Source organism: Homo sapiens, chromosome 10 (assembly GCF_000001405.40).
Source record: "Homo sapiens chromosome 10, GRCh38.p14 Primary Assembly".
Taxonomy (NCBI): Eukaryota; Metazoa; Chordata; class Mammalia; order Primates; family Hominidae; genus Homo; species Homo sapiens.
Window position 1 is genome coordinate 89,639,501 of NC_000010.11, and position 13,870 is coordinate 89,653,370.

The window sequence follows — 13,870 nt, forward strand, 5'->3', positions numbered from 1 at the left end:
ATTGGGTTCTTACTACAACTGATAAGATGGCCACCATTATCTCTATTCAACAGTGAGCCTTGAGGAAGTTAAGAATCTCACCTAAGGCTTCATTGCTAGTAAGTAGGAAATGCGGACCTGAATCCAGGCCTGGTGGCAACAAAGCTCTTTACACCACAGAACCCTACCCACACTTGCTTCATGGAACCCACTAGGGCCCTGCCCAGCAAAGTCAAAATCTTAAATAGTTTTACCCTGAGTCCTGAGCCCTCAGTTTCCTCATTTGTAAAAGGAAGAGAATGACAGCCCCTATCTCACAGGCTGCTGGGAGTATTTGATGAGAGAATCCATGTGTCTAACTTAGTGCCTAGCACATAGTAAGTGCTCCTCAATGTTGGCCACTGTTACCTCCACAGACACATGGATGAGCATTTTGCCAAAGGTGTACAGATTACATGGACCTATCTTTTCCGAAAGTTTTACAGAACACACTTTTTTTTCCCAACATAAATAATAGGCTTATTGTGATAGAAAACAAAGCCAGTTGGCAAGGAAGATAGACTTGGGTTACAATTTTGGCCCTGTCATTCACTGATAACAGGTCTTTGGACAGGTTGCTTTACTTCTTTGAGCCTCTCTTTGCCCATCTTTAAAATAGAGAGTAGGAGTGGGAACTGCATGCTTTTGTAAAAGCACATACAGAACAATGGACACAGAGATGTCACTCAATAATAGCTACTTTCATTACTGGGTAAATCGAAGCTACTGTCATGACTTTTTCCACCTTCTTTCCTAACAACAGAGAAATCTGTTAGAGGTTCAGGTCATTGTTTTGATGTAATTCTCTTTAAATAATATTTCTTTGCCCCTTTGAATCATCTACTACTCTCAAATGTACTCTCAAGGAGAGAATACACACACACACACACACACACAAACACACACACGATTACCCAACAACTCTAGGCATTTAAAAGGTGTCATAAATTAAGTAAAGAGATACCAAGCTTGACAGCTGCACTATCTAGAGAAAAGGTCTACTTAGAAATTCTGTATGCCACAGTGGATACACTAAATACTTGTCATCCCAAGGTCCCAAGATGAATACTGGCTTACCTATTAAACCTAAAGCATATGTAGTTAAATATATTAGAAGTCAAGCCCTGATTAATTTTCATGATAATTGGCTCATACTTAACATATATACACACAAAATATTAAAATGCAGGCTATCCCACACAGACAAAACAGCCTGTCAGTTAAAACCAATACTTATTTGTTTCCCCTACTTATTCTGTCTCCAAAACCATGAAAGGTTTTTAGTCACTTGTTAAATGTCTCACATATCAAGAACCAACAACACTGTTCCTGTCTTTGGTCACCATGCCAAATAAAATATGCTTTGTATTATATTAATGTTGAAACTCACTTACTGGTCTTTTGGAGGAAAAGCAGTGTTTGTATGCTTAATAGAATCCTGATCCTTAACCAGTTGGACACTGGACACTTGGGCCTTAAATTATTAATCATCAATTCAAATGTGTATTGTACAATTCATAGCTTAATTGACAAACTTGGGAATTTGACCACACTCTAGAAGGTAGCAATACTAGAGTGTGCTCCTGCTTTCCCTTTTAGTCTTTTGTTTTTGAACTTGCAATGTCTCTTATCCATGTAGAAGTATTGATTATGTTAAAATTAATTGTTAAAAATACTGTATGCATCCATACTCTATGCAGATACAACCAGAAAATTTTCCTTATTTATCTTTTTTATACTGGTTTTTCTAATTAGCCCAATTCAAGGGTAATGTAAAGTCCAAGTTCCAAAGCTAAACATCCCAATATTTAGGAAATTAAAGCCTTATACTTTCACAATGATGGCTAAAACTGGTAACAGATTTGGGGTTTTTCAGTCTGTACCCACCAGTATGCTACCTGCATAATGAACTCTCACTCATTTTCTGCTATCTGGATGATTTGAGAAGTCAGAACCTCCGACCAGAAGGCTGACTGCATGCATCTACTCATTATTCCTGCCTGTTGCCACACATAAGGTAGCACATGCCCTTGAGCCCTTCAGATGATACTCACATACAAAAAATTAGCTGGGCGTGGTGGTGGGCGCCTGTAGTCCCAGCTACTTGGGAGGCTGAGGCAGGAGAATGGCGTGAAGCCAGGAGGCGGAGCTTGCAGTGAGCCAAGATCGTGCCACTGCACTCCAGCCTCGGCGACAGAGCGAGAATCCGTCTCAAAATAAATAAATAAATAAATAAATAAATAAATAAATAAATAAAATAAAAAAAAATCAGCACAAGGCAAAAAAGTCCATTCACAATTAAATGTTAAATCAGTGGCACAGCAGATAACTAGTATCATCTAGTAGGAAGAACTGTCAGCTCTGAAGTGTCATAGAATTCTGAAGGTACAGGAAACAGCACTTGGAGATCACCTAGCCTAGCTCCAGCAGTTCAAGATGTGACTTGGTAACTTGGTTAAGATCACACTGCTGCTAAGTAGCAGAGGTGGGTAAAGTACCTAAGGAAACCTGATAGTAAGTAGATAGTCTAAGAAAAGCCTTCCAAGAATAAGTAGAGTGAGGTGATGGCACTTTAGATGAAAAGAGTGGACAACATTCTCCTTTCCTGGTTTAGCAAAATTAACCTGCCACTGGTCTGACTTTTAGATTGTAGGATGGTGAATAGTCTCGGCACTGAGAGGTCAGATTAAAATTTGTTAAATAATCTAAAAATACTGATCTGTTTTATTCCATCCATCATTTTCAAACATGAAGTATTTTAATGTGTATTGTCCTTTACCTACAATACTACAAAATAGAAACACACCTATCCACACATGCATTCCAGGTGCATTTACAAGTGTTAACACTGGCTATCTTAACACACATCTTGTTGGGACAGAGGCCAAACTGTTGTAACTGACCAGGAGGAAATAATTATGTGTCTAGCTTGATGCTTCGCCACCAGCACACACTAAAGTTTGCGTTTAAAGCACACAACTACTCTTTGCAAAAATCGTTCCTGTAAAATCTGTCAGTCATCAGCAAATAGGAATAAGCTTAGAGTATGTAAATACTCACAGAGTACCTAAATATTCCTCTTAGAGTACCTAATTCCTCTTAGAGTAACTAAATATCAACTGATTGGACAATATTCTTTTTATAAAGATATGTGAATGTCAATAGGCAAGGCACAAAGATATTAAGTTAAGCCATTTTTAACTAAGAAATTTTGGTAGTGAAAAGGCCAGATGTGACTCCTAGGAACATGTAAAATTTATTTCAGACATGATTGTTCAAATCTGAGAGAAGAAAACATGGTAAATAATGTAAATCCAATTTTGACGAACCGTTTTTTAAAAATTATAAGTAACAATCGTGGTCATGAAACTTAAAACAACTAGGATTTTTATTCTGTAAGAAACATAAACCACTTTAATTTCTGATACAAAGCACACAGGCAGATAGTTACATTTTCTTGTATTTTAAAATAATTTCTGTGGGTTTGCAAGCACAAGTTAAGGCTCAGGTTAGTTTTTCTCTGTCTTCAAGATATTCCTAGAGGGTGTATTTTCAATTCCTCAGAAGTTATTTCAAGAGGTGTTATATCCTCAATTAAACATAGAAGATTAAGCTAGAAGCTCCCTTTCATTATATTTTAGCTATTTTCATTGCAAACTCTAGTACAATCTGTCAATGTAGATAAGAGAAATAACTGAAGTATAGCTTCAAAATAAGTGAAACAGGTTTATAAATCACAGGTAATCAATATTAAGTCCTGACTTTTAAAATATTAATACTAATGAAAGTCATTTTCTAACAAGTATCAAAAACAAAAGCAAATAAAAATTCAGGTGCTAGATTACAACCTTACACCTTACAACTGTAGCCAAATCTGCTGTTTGGCTTTAAAGTTCCACACAAAATCTTAACCTACAAATTTAACATTTCAAACCCACAAAATACAAGTACCAGAGTCACCCACAGTCATGTCAAAGGGCTTTCCAAGGTCTTAGAAACCTTAATCCAATACAGAAAAGCTAAGAGTCAAAAAGACATAGAAACAGGGAAAAGTGAAGGTGTTATTTGCCAAACATTAAACTTTCACAGAAATCCAAAACCTACTTAACAATTTCCCTATATCGAACAGCATAACCTCTATGCAAATGCAGTCATTTATTAGCATTTACTGTACTTACTTTGCTTTTTGCCATTTATAAGCTTCATTAAAGACACCCACAAAGAAGTAACCAGTTGAATGAGCTTCAGTCAAGAAAAACCAGCTGTAAACTCGACCTACAAATTTACATCCCACAGCGTCCTGTGGGGAAGGTACACTTTACAAACTACCATTATATATACAAGCTTTAGATTGTGAAATAATGCACTTCGGCTTTCTCCGGTGTACATTACAATTACAAACCCTCAACTCAACCTCCCCCTTCGTTGAAAAAAAAAATCCACCTCCAATCCTCATTGGTCCACATAGTTCCGGCCCACATGGTATCAGTGGGTGTGTCCCTCCCAAAAAACCCTCTCATTGGCCGTGAAGAAACAGCTTCTAATAGGCTGTGATTTTGGGGGGTAGTTAAACTCCACGCCTCCAGACTTGCGCTCTCCAATAGACCCGAGACGCTGCTGGCTACTCTGTGATTCAAAGGGCAGGCAACCCCAGTAGGACGCGCTCAGAGAAGCGAGAGGGGTGAGAAAGGAGAGAGCACCCTCGGTGTGCCGCCCACTTTATCCTCACTCCTGGACCCCAGCAAATGTTCACACACCTGCGTTTTCCCAGCCACCAATTAGAAGGGCGGACAGAGCGTTCGCTTATTATATATCCTTGACCTAGGGACCCGCTCAAGCTTCGTGTCCAATCCTCGTTCTACTGATAGAAGCGAGCAAAGGGCAGGCTCAGGCAAAGACCTGTAGTGCTTGATGTCCCCTAGGAAAAGAATCAGTCCCGGGAACCTACTCTGTGCAGTCCCTCGACCGCAGACGCGGGGGCGCACGGGGCGTGCTGCGGCGCCTGCCTCAGCCGCTCCCAGTCCCGGGCCCCGCACGCTGCGTCTGCCTTGCGCCCGCGCTCCCCTCCCAGCGGGACTTACGCGGCCTGTTCTTTCTCCCCGAGTCCATCCTCCTCCGCAGCCGGCATTTCTTGGCCGGGGAGTCATGCTGAGGGAGCAGTGGCTGCGGCTGCAGCTCCGGCAGGAGCGGGAGGCGCTGGGGCGCCGCGTCGCTGCCGCCCACTGGACCCCGGCTGCAGACGTGCGGCGGCTGGACTGGCGGCGGATGGAAGCCGTTGTGCAGCAGCCCGTTCACAGCGGCGGCGCTGGTGCCCACGGGGGCCCCTGGAGAGTGCGGGACCGAGCGCTCCTGCTGCCCGCTGCGGTCGCCCATGCCGGGGGCTGGCGGGGCTGTGCGCGGGCCCCGGCTCAGGCGGCCTCGCTGGAGGTCATTCTCCGGCGTCTTTATTTCCCCGGATCCTCCCTGCGGCTTCCGATTCAGCAGCCGCAGAGCCGGCGCCTGGGGATGGCGAACCCGGCGCTCCTCCCCTCCTCCTGCCGACTCCCCCACCTCCTCTGCGCCCTGCCCCCCGCGCGCCGGCCCCACGGCGCCGGCCTGGAGCACGCCAGCCCCGGGCGCGGAATCGGGGATCCCCGCGCACCCCCAGCCGGGGCTCCCGCCGCCCGCCTTCCCCTGATCCCCAGGCCGCGCGACTTCAAACGCGGCTTCCTCGCCTCCCAGACTGGTCCCCGCCACTGAGCATGCCCAGTCCTGCCCGCCACCGCCACCGACGAGTTTCAACATGGGGAATCAAGTTCTCTGGGCTTGCAGAGAGGAGATGGGCGGGTTGGGCTTTGTATGGCGATGTGAAAACCAGATGGGTCTGGGAGAGACAGCGAAAGGAGCGAACCGTTTCAGGAGGAATACGGGAGGAAGACAATTATTTGCAGAGGTGTCAGGTTTGCTAATCCTGTCCCCAGTGAGCAAGATACCTTTGCAAGGTCATTCACGTTACCCTCCCCGCTTTGTGAGTGTGTGCTTACGCGCGCGCGCGTGTGTGCCTGTGCGTTTGGTTAAGTGACCAAACTACTTAGAGGCCTGAGGGGAGGGAGAACAATTATTTATAGAAAAGTTGGCAGACTTGGGGAGGGAGGGGAGTGAAATTTCTTTGCTGGCACGCACACACACTCAAACACCATGTGGTCTCATGGAGTTGTCTTTTGCAGGGAGGAAACCTAGGAATACAGTGTAAGGACAGTGAAGGACAAAACTGTAGGCAGGATTAATCGGTGCTGAAAGAGATCAAGTAAACAGGAGCAATTCCATGCTATAAAAAGCACTTTCCTCACCCAGAAAGGACTTCAAAAGACAATGTCATGTTATTTATAGAGTAAGGAGTTGCCTCTTCTAAGAAGGGAAGGCGGCATCACGTGGTGACCAGCACTACGAGCTTTGGAGTTAGCACTGGGTTCAAATTCCAACTCAGCCACTGAGCAAACCCAGATAACGTTAATGCTCAAGGTAACACTTCTAGCAATAGGAAACGGGACTGTCCATGCTCACTATGCAGGACTAATTTGGGTGGTGAATACCTTCCCAAAGTTATGCAATCTCTTGAGGCCTCACTTTCCTATCCATAATGGGGCTGTTGTGAGAAAATCTACTAAAAGTACCTGGTACAATCCTGGCACACAGTAAATGCTCAGAAAGCTAGTTTTCCTTATTACGCTATTATGATTAGCAGTTCACCCTTTGTTTCGACAGGGGAACAAACCATGCTTACAGCCGTATTTATTGTGTGATTTATTTTGTGATATTCTCCGTGATTTGCAATTAATCTACAGAGGAGTCAGAGTCTGGCAGGTGCTGGCTGGCTACTGGGTTGCTGGGCCCCTGGGCTTCAGTGCATTCAGCAGCATCTAGGGCTTGCATCTGGCAATTCCTTCCAGCAGAGCCTTACCTAGAATCAGAGCTTGAGAACCATGGGGGCCACTGGAGCACTCTGGTCTATCCACTCTTGCATACTTTTTTCGTATCAGGAAACTGAGCTGCAGACAGATGGCTGAGGTTATTAAGAGCAAAGGTGGGACTAAACTCCAAATCTCAACTCTCTTAGCTTCCCTAACCTTATGCTATTTAAAGACAGAGAAAAAAACCCAGGTGATCTGGCCCCTCCCTACCTCTCCTGCCTCATCAGGGGCTCCCTGTGCTGCCTTCAATTCCTTAAACAACATTCTGCTGTTTCCATTGCCTTAGAGAAGTCTCTTCTCTAAGACCTCTTTTGTCTACTAGACTCCAACTTTAGATCTCCTCTTTAACTTCTCATATTTAGAGAAATGTTCCCTGACCCTTAGGGCTACATTAGGTCTCCCTGCCATACCCTCTTCCTACTCCTTGTACTCTGTTTATGACTCCTTATCATTTTGTAACTATACCATGCATCTGTTCCCTCATTTGTAACTTGAGAATAATAGGACATCACTGAGTTGTTAGACTGATGAAATGCATAACACATGCGTAAAATTAATTCAAACTTCAAGCTATTGGAACTTTTTTGTGAGACTTGAGAGAAATGTGGCTATGCAGCTACAACTTCTGCTTTTTTTTTTTTTTTTTTTAAGACAAGGTCTCACTCCTTCACCCAGGCTGGAGTGCAGTGGCACAGTCGTAGCTTACTGTAGCCTCCAACTCCTGGGCTCAAGCGATCCTCCCACCTTGGCCTCCCAAAGTATTGGAATTATAGGAATGAGCCACCATGCCTGGGCTTGCCTTTTTTCCTTGTAAATAATTAGGAAGACCGAGCAGGGCCAGAGATACTAATCCCTTGGATCACTGCCTCTCCTCACAGAGTAATAATCTTCCTTGGAATGCAGCAGTCTGCAACCAATCAAATCGCTGTGGCATATGCATTGGTCTTGTATGGAAAATGTAATTCTGCTGGAACTTCTCCATCTCTGCCAGTATAAGTGAAATCTTAACTTCTCCACTTTGGAGCACTGATCCCACTCATTTGGAGTTAGTGTTTCCAGGTGGCTATCCTCAAGCTTTGCACTCAAACTTCATACTTAATCATGTTCTCTAAATCTCATTATTTAAGGTTAACATATGTAAAGTGTCCAGCACATTGTAAGTGCTAGAAAAAGACATTATTATTATTTGATTGCCCATCTTACCCCACTTCACTGTAAGCATCTTTAAGGCAGATGACTTGTTCATCACTCTATCCCTAGGAGGCACTTGGTAATTATTTGTGACTGGATAAATGACTTATATCAAGCTTGTCTAGCCTGTGGCCCACAGCCTGCATGCGGCTCAGGACGGCTTTGAATACGGCCCAACACAAATTCATAAACATGAGATTTATTTTTGTGACTTTTTTTTTTTTAGCTCATTAGCTATCATTAGTGTTAGTGTATTTTATGTGTGGCCCAAGACAATTCTTCCTCTTCCAGTGTGGCTCATGGAAGCCAAAAGATTGGACACCCCTGACTTAGATGATATTTCACACAGAGTCCCCCTCACTTTCTACTGTAAATTTGCTAAAAATCACCAGCCACTCCTAAATATTCAAATATATCATTTTCAAATTCCCACATAATTGAGCTGAGTGGCTTAGGAAGCAAATTACATCAGAGATGCAAATAGAAGCTTTAGCATTGCAATATCTCCAAGGACATATTTTTTCTAGCTGGATTCCCAGGCCTGCTGAGGAAGGCCTGAGCCAGGTGGCTCAGACCCAGGCAGGGCAAAAGTACTGGTACTGGGACAGAACGTCCTCCACCTGCTTCCTTTCTCCTACCCTTGTCAGGCTGGGTGCTTGGATCAGTTACACCCAGCGTATGGTAGGGAAGAAGCCAGGTGGCATCTCACAGGTTTATTCAGGGGTGTGTGTAGGAGGTGTAACTTTGAGGCGTGAGCTGTCATGTCCTCCAGGAGGGGCATGCAACAAATGTTTGGAAGAGAGTGAGGGAGAAGGGAACCCACAAACCAGTGCACTCCCTTGGGTCTTATTCATTTATTTAATAATCATTTATTGTGTGTACTATGTTGTAGGCACTAAAGCATGCTGGGAATACAAAGACAAAATAGATGGCTTCACTGCCCTCAAAGGGCTTACAATTCAGTAGAGAGAGAAAAGTCAGTGATTCTCCAGCATCAGTGTTATGTAAGAATAACCTAGGGAATTTTTCCTTTTTAAATTTGTATTAAAACTAACATACATACAGAAAAGTATGCATATCTTATAAAGCTCAAGGTATTTTGCAAAAAATGAACATGCAGTGTAACTTGCAACCCAGGATATTTTGTAAGCACAGATTCTGGGTCCAGTTCCCATAGACTGATTCATCAGTAGGTGATGATGATGATAACGAAGATGATAATAAATATTTTTAAAATTAAAAAAATAACTTTTTCAAAAACAGGGGATTTGATGCAGATGATCATCATGGCTTGGAGAAACAATGAAGGAAGCAAAGTATGCCATCTATGCTGCGGGAGGTAACTCCAGAAGACCCCAGAGAGTGAGCAATGACAGAGTCAGGGGTGGGGGTTTATGGGGGAGTGGTGCTGAGGTGGAAGCTAAAACAGGTTTCAGGGAGGAAATGACCCTTAAACTGAATTTTGAATAATATTGGCCTTTCTTCAGGTGAATAGGGAGGGAAGGTTTAAAAGAATCTACTCAGAACTGAAGGAGCCAAGACTCTGTGGGTGCATTTGAAACAACCTGGCATTTTTGGGAAACTGCCAGGAGTTCCACAAGGCTGAAGAGCAGCCTGAGAAGGGAGAAGGTGAGCAGTAATGGCTGAAAAGTTTATGTAACCAACCAACAGGCTCATTTTACCTGCTGCCCAGATACAGCCGATTTATCAAGACAGGGGAATTGCAAAAGAGAAAGAGTTAATTCATGCAGAGCCAGCTGAACAGGAGACTGGGGTTTTATTACTCAAATCAGTCACCCTGAAAATTCAGAGGCTGTGGTTTTTCAAGGATAGTTTGGCAGTCCAGGGAATGGAGTGCTGCTGATTGGCTGGGGATGCAATCATAGGAGTGTGGAAAATGGTCCTTCTGCATATGTGCTGAGTCTGCCTCTGGGAGGGGCCACAGGATGGGTTGGCAGGTCCACGTGGAGCCACTGGTTGTCAAAAATGCAAAACCCTGAAAAGACATCTCAAAAGGCCAATCTTAGGTTCTACAATAGTAATGTTATCTGCAGGAGTATTTGTGAAAGTTGTAAATCTTGTGACTTCTGGAATAATGACTAGTAATCATTTATGTCTACACTTTAGCAGAATTCAGGCTTCTCTTATCTGCCTAACCTATAAAGATGGTTTAGTTTTGGGGAAGGGCTACTATCATTTAAACTATAAACTAAACGTCTCCCAAAGTTAGCTTGGCTCAAGCCCAGGAATGATTAAAGACAGTTTGGAGGGTAAAGGCAAGATGGCAGTTGGTTAGATCAGATCTCTTTCACTATCATAATTTTCTCACTGTTATATTTCTTGCAAAGGTGGTTTCAATTGAATAGGATCCAAATCTCAAATGGCTTTCTATCCCATAGGAACGAGTTTGGACTTTTAACTGAGGGCCATTGGAAACTACTGAAGAGTTTTAGGCAGCATAAGAACTACTAGATTTTCATTGTGGGAGGATCCTCAGCAGCAGCCTCAGAAAGGAGATTGGGGAAGGAGATCCCTAGTCAGGGAGACCAAGAAGACTACTGGAAAAAAACAGGTAAGAAGTGATAAGGGACTGAGTGAAGGACACAGCAGTTGGAATAAGAGCACTGGGTGGATTCAAGAATTATTTTAGAATCTATAGGACTTGGTCAATGGGAGGGTAAGGGAGAGGTGTGGCTGGGCTGATTTCTATGTTTCCAGGTCGTGCAGCTGGGGATGTGGTTTCAACATGCAGATCTAAGCATATCCCCATTCCATCCTGAGCTGCATCACTCCCAGGCTGGGTTGGGTGCCTCTCTGGTGTAAGCCATATCACTCTTTGCCTATCTCAGTCTAATACTACACTTAACACGTTTCATTGCAATTTTTTTGGCAGGGGAATCCTCAAGGACCTGCAAACAAGAAACCAAATCCCCCCACTCCCCCCAGCCAAAATGTGTTCATTTTGACCAGCTGTGTGTGTGTTTTAAATTAAAAGTTTGAATTAGAAAGCAAGTAGGATAAATTTATATACTTAGATGTATAAATTTAAATACCTGGCCCCTGAAGCACTTCTGATAGGTCTCAGCTACCCAAACAAGAAGAACGGAATCTTTGAATCCCCAGGACTCAACGCAGTACTGGACACAAAATGGGAGCTGAAAAAGTGTGTGTGGAGTCAGTGAAGGATGCAATTTCCCCTCATTGTAGAGATGAAGAAGCTGAGGCTGCAGAGTAGAATAGGAGCAGACAGTGGGGATTGTCTTCAAAGTAGGTTCCTAGTTCCTGGCTCAGAGGTCCCAGTTTTTGTTGACCATGGACAGTAAAACTCCCTGGGGAAGCGGGCCCAGTCTCAGGAGAGCAGTTTTGATTGGTCTAAGTTTGTGATTGACTTAGGAACTGTCTGGCCAATGAAATATGAGGGAAAGCCTGGGGGATTCTGGGAAAGGTTTTGTAAACCAAAAAGTATTTGAGACATGTCTCAATTTTAGAGGATTATTTTGCCAAGGTTAAGGACCATTGCCCATACAGCCTCAGGAGGCCCTGAGAACATATACCCAAGGTGGTTGGGGTACAGCTTCATTTTATACATTTTAGGGAGTCAGAAGTTACAGGCAAAGACATAAATCAATACATGCAAGGTATACATTGGTTTGGCCCAGAGAGGTGGAACATCTAGAAGCAGGAGCTTCCAGGTCATAAGTGGATTCAAAGATTTCCTGATTGGCAGTTTGTTGACAGAGTTAAGCTCCGCCCCAAGAGTTGATGTCAGCTTAAATTAAGGTAAGGGGGTGCTTTGTGGAAACCAACGTTCTTATCATGTATATGAAGCCTCCAGGCTTCAGCGAGAATAGATGTGAATGTCTTTTATTGGACCTTAAAAATTGTCAGACTTTCTGGAAAAGACCTAATAAGGGAATCTTTACAGAACATAATTTTTTCACCCACAAGTGACAGCTTGGCAGGGCCGTTTCAAAATATGTAAAGAAATATAATTTGAGGTAAAATAATTTGATTTCCTTCAGGGCCCACTGGCTGTCACGTGATGTTATACCAGAGTCAGATTGGAATCTGTTGTCTTACTGCTACCAAGATTTTGTCTTGACAGTCTTAAGATTCCTGTTTTAATGTCAGTTCTGGTCAGTTGTGTCTAAACTCAAAAGGAAGGAGGGTATAATGAGGCATGTTTCACCCCCTCTTTCCCATCATGGCCTGAACTAGTTTTTCAGGTGTTTTTTTGAATCCCTTTGGCCAAGGGGGATCCATTCAGTCAGCTGAGGGGCTTAGAATTTTATTTTTGGTTTATAGTTTCCTCTTGATTAAAGAAGGAAGTCTGCAATGTGGGTTTGTAACCTAGTTTTTAATAACTTTACATCAGACTTGTAATTTATTGTTACTTTCTGAAGACACACTGATAAAACCTCTCTACCATGACGTCATTGCATGTTTTCACGGTAGAAATTCTAATTATTTGCTAAAGTGAAAATAAAGTCAAACATGCCTAAGTCTTTATCTGCTTAACCACATTAGCTATGGTGTGATCATGGAAAAAGGGCACACATCAAGACATAGTTTTAAAAGAATTATTAGAATGTTGACTACCAGAATAATATTGACCCAGGATGAACTTCTTTTTTTATTTTTTCATTTCTGCTTTTTTGTTATTGGTGTTTATAACTTCCTCAGAGATTCACCATGGGGTTACCTCATACAAGAGACTACCTTCAGGTACAGATTTTCATCACCATACTTTCTGTAGGTGCCCCTGGCAGTCAGAGGTTACCACAAACAAAAAGTACTTTGGTGAGTAGTGTTATAGTGAGATTCTGATAACTCATTCATCAGAGCCTCTCACTTAAGTACGAAGATAAGTACCAGAGTTACAATCTTGAGCAAAAGCAAAGTCCCTGTCTTCATCTGTGTTACAGAAAAGACAGGCCTTAAGCACACACTCACCAAAAAAGCAAAGACATTAGTGCATACTTCAAAATGCATAAAATATAAGACCCCCTAGTGCCATGAGAGTACATACCAGGCTGACCTGGCCTAAATATAAGTTTCATCAGAGGAAGTGGTATTTAAACTGAGTTCTGAATATTGAATAGAAGTTAATTAAGGTTGGAGTAGATGTAGAAGAGGTATTCACAGTGTATCTCATATCATAAATATGGTAGGTAATTCATAAATACTTGTTGATTGAAAGAATGAATTGAACCTATCCCCCCAGTAGGGCAAATCAAGTGTAAGGAAAATTATTCACTGGAACAAACCATTGGAGAAAGTTTAGGCCAGTTTGTCTAATCATCAGTCTTTCACAATAATTTGTTACAGACCAGAGGCTCCCCATGTAATAAAAATTAACATGGAGCCAAGCAGATTCCTCAGACAAGGCTTTTATCTGGTGTTTGTGCTTGAGTGCAAGGGAGACAGCAGAGGCACAAGGACCTTCTGGTGACTCTCTGAAAAAGAGCTGGTAGGGATTTTTTATGAGACAAAGTGCTGGAATTGACAATAGGGGTAAGATATGCAGGCTGGGCTGGACAAAGCATGTGAGGGGTAGGGTATGTAGCATAGCGCGTTGCTATGTTTTTCTTGAGTAATGGGCCAACTGGTTATCTGGGAGCAGCAAAGAGGGTTTAAATCAGATTTTCGGCATTCCTTCCCAGGTAGGACACTCTGCAACCTTGGTTTGATTTTGGATCCCCCAAAGCCAG

The 13,870-nt window shown here is 43.0% G+C and overlaps 1 protein-coding gene and 1 long non-coding RNA gene across 13 annotated transcripts in view, besides 2 other annotated features; one reads left to right on the forward strand and one right to left on the reverse strand.

The window, feature by feature from the left end:
• Positions 1-5,742, reverse strand: part of PANK1 (pantothenate kinase 1) — a 65,748-nt gene extending 60,006 nt beyond the window's left edge. For 4 of the 5 annotated variants that reach the window (NM_138316.4, NM_148978.3, XM_017016334.2 and 1 more), the window contains exon 1: positions 4,197-4,416. In NM_138316.4, the coding sequence (NP_612189.2) occupies positions 4,197-4,224 (28 nt within the window). In that variant the 5' untranslated portion in view covers positions 4,225-4,416. Of the gene's footprint in view, positions 1-4,196; positions 4,417-5,099 lie in introns of those variants that run through there. The other variant, NM_148977.3, reaches the window with a different exon arrangement.
• Positions 4,516-4,565: a silencer, noted in NCBI's record as "silent region_2593". NCBI's record gives its function as "represses an Ori minimal core promoter by ATAC-STARR-seq in GM12878 lymphoblastoid cells {active_cell/tissue: GM12878}" and the evidence as "EXISTENCE:reporter gene assay evidence [ECO:0000049][PMID:35858748]".
• PANK1-AS1 (PANK1 antisense RNA 1) lies at positions 4,614-12,661 on the forward strand. Of its 8 annotated transcripts, none has more exons than NR_184343.1 (5): positions 4,614-4,699; positions 9,423-9,521; positions 9,647-9,788; positions 10,559-10,731; positions 11,053-12,661. It is a non-coding gene; the product is annotated as a PANK1 antisense RNA 1 (long non-coding RNA). The 8 variants fall into 8 exon arrangements; NR_184344.1 differs by having other exon boundaries at positions 9,423-9,498; NR_184350.1 differs by lacking the exon at positions 4,614-4,699 and adding an exon at positions 5,770-5,999.
• Positions 5,266-5,745: a silencer, noted in NCBI's record as "silent region_2594". NCBI's record gives its function as "represses an Ori minimal core promoter by ATAC-STARR-seq in GM12878 lymphoblastoid cells {active_cell/tissue: GM12878}" and the evidence as "EXISTENCE:reporter gene assay evidence [ECO:0000049][PMID:35858748]".
• Positions 12,662-13,870: the final 1,209 nt, after the last annotated feature.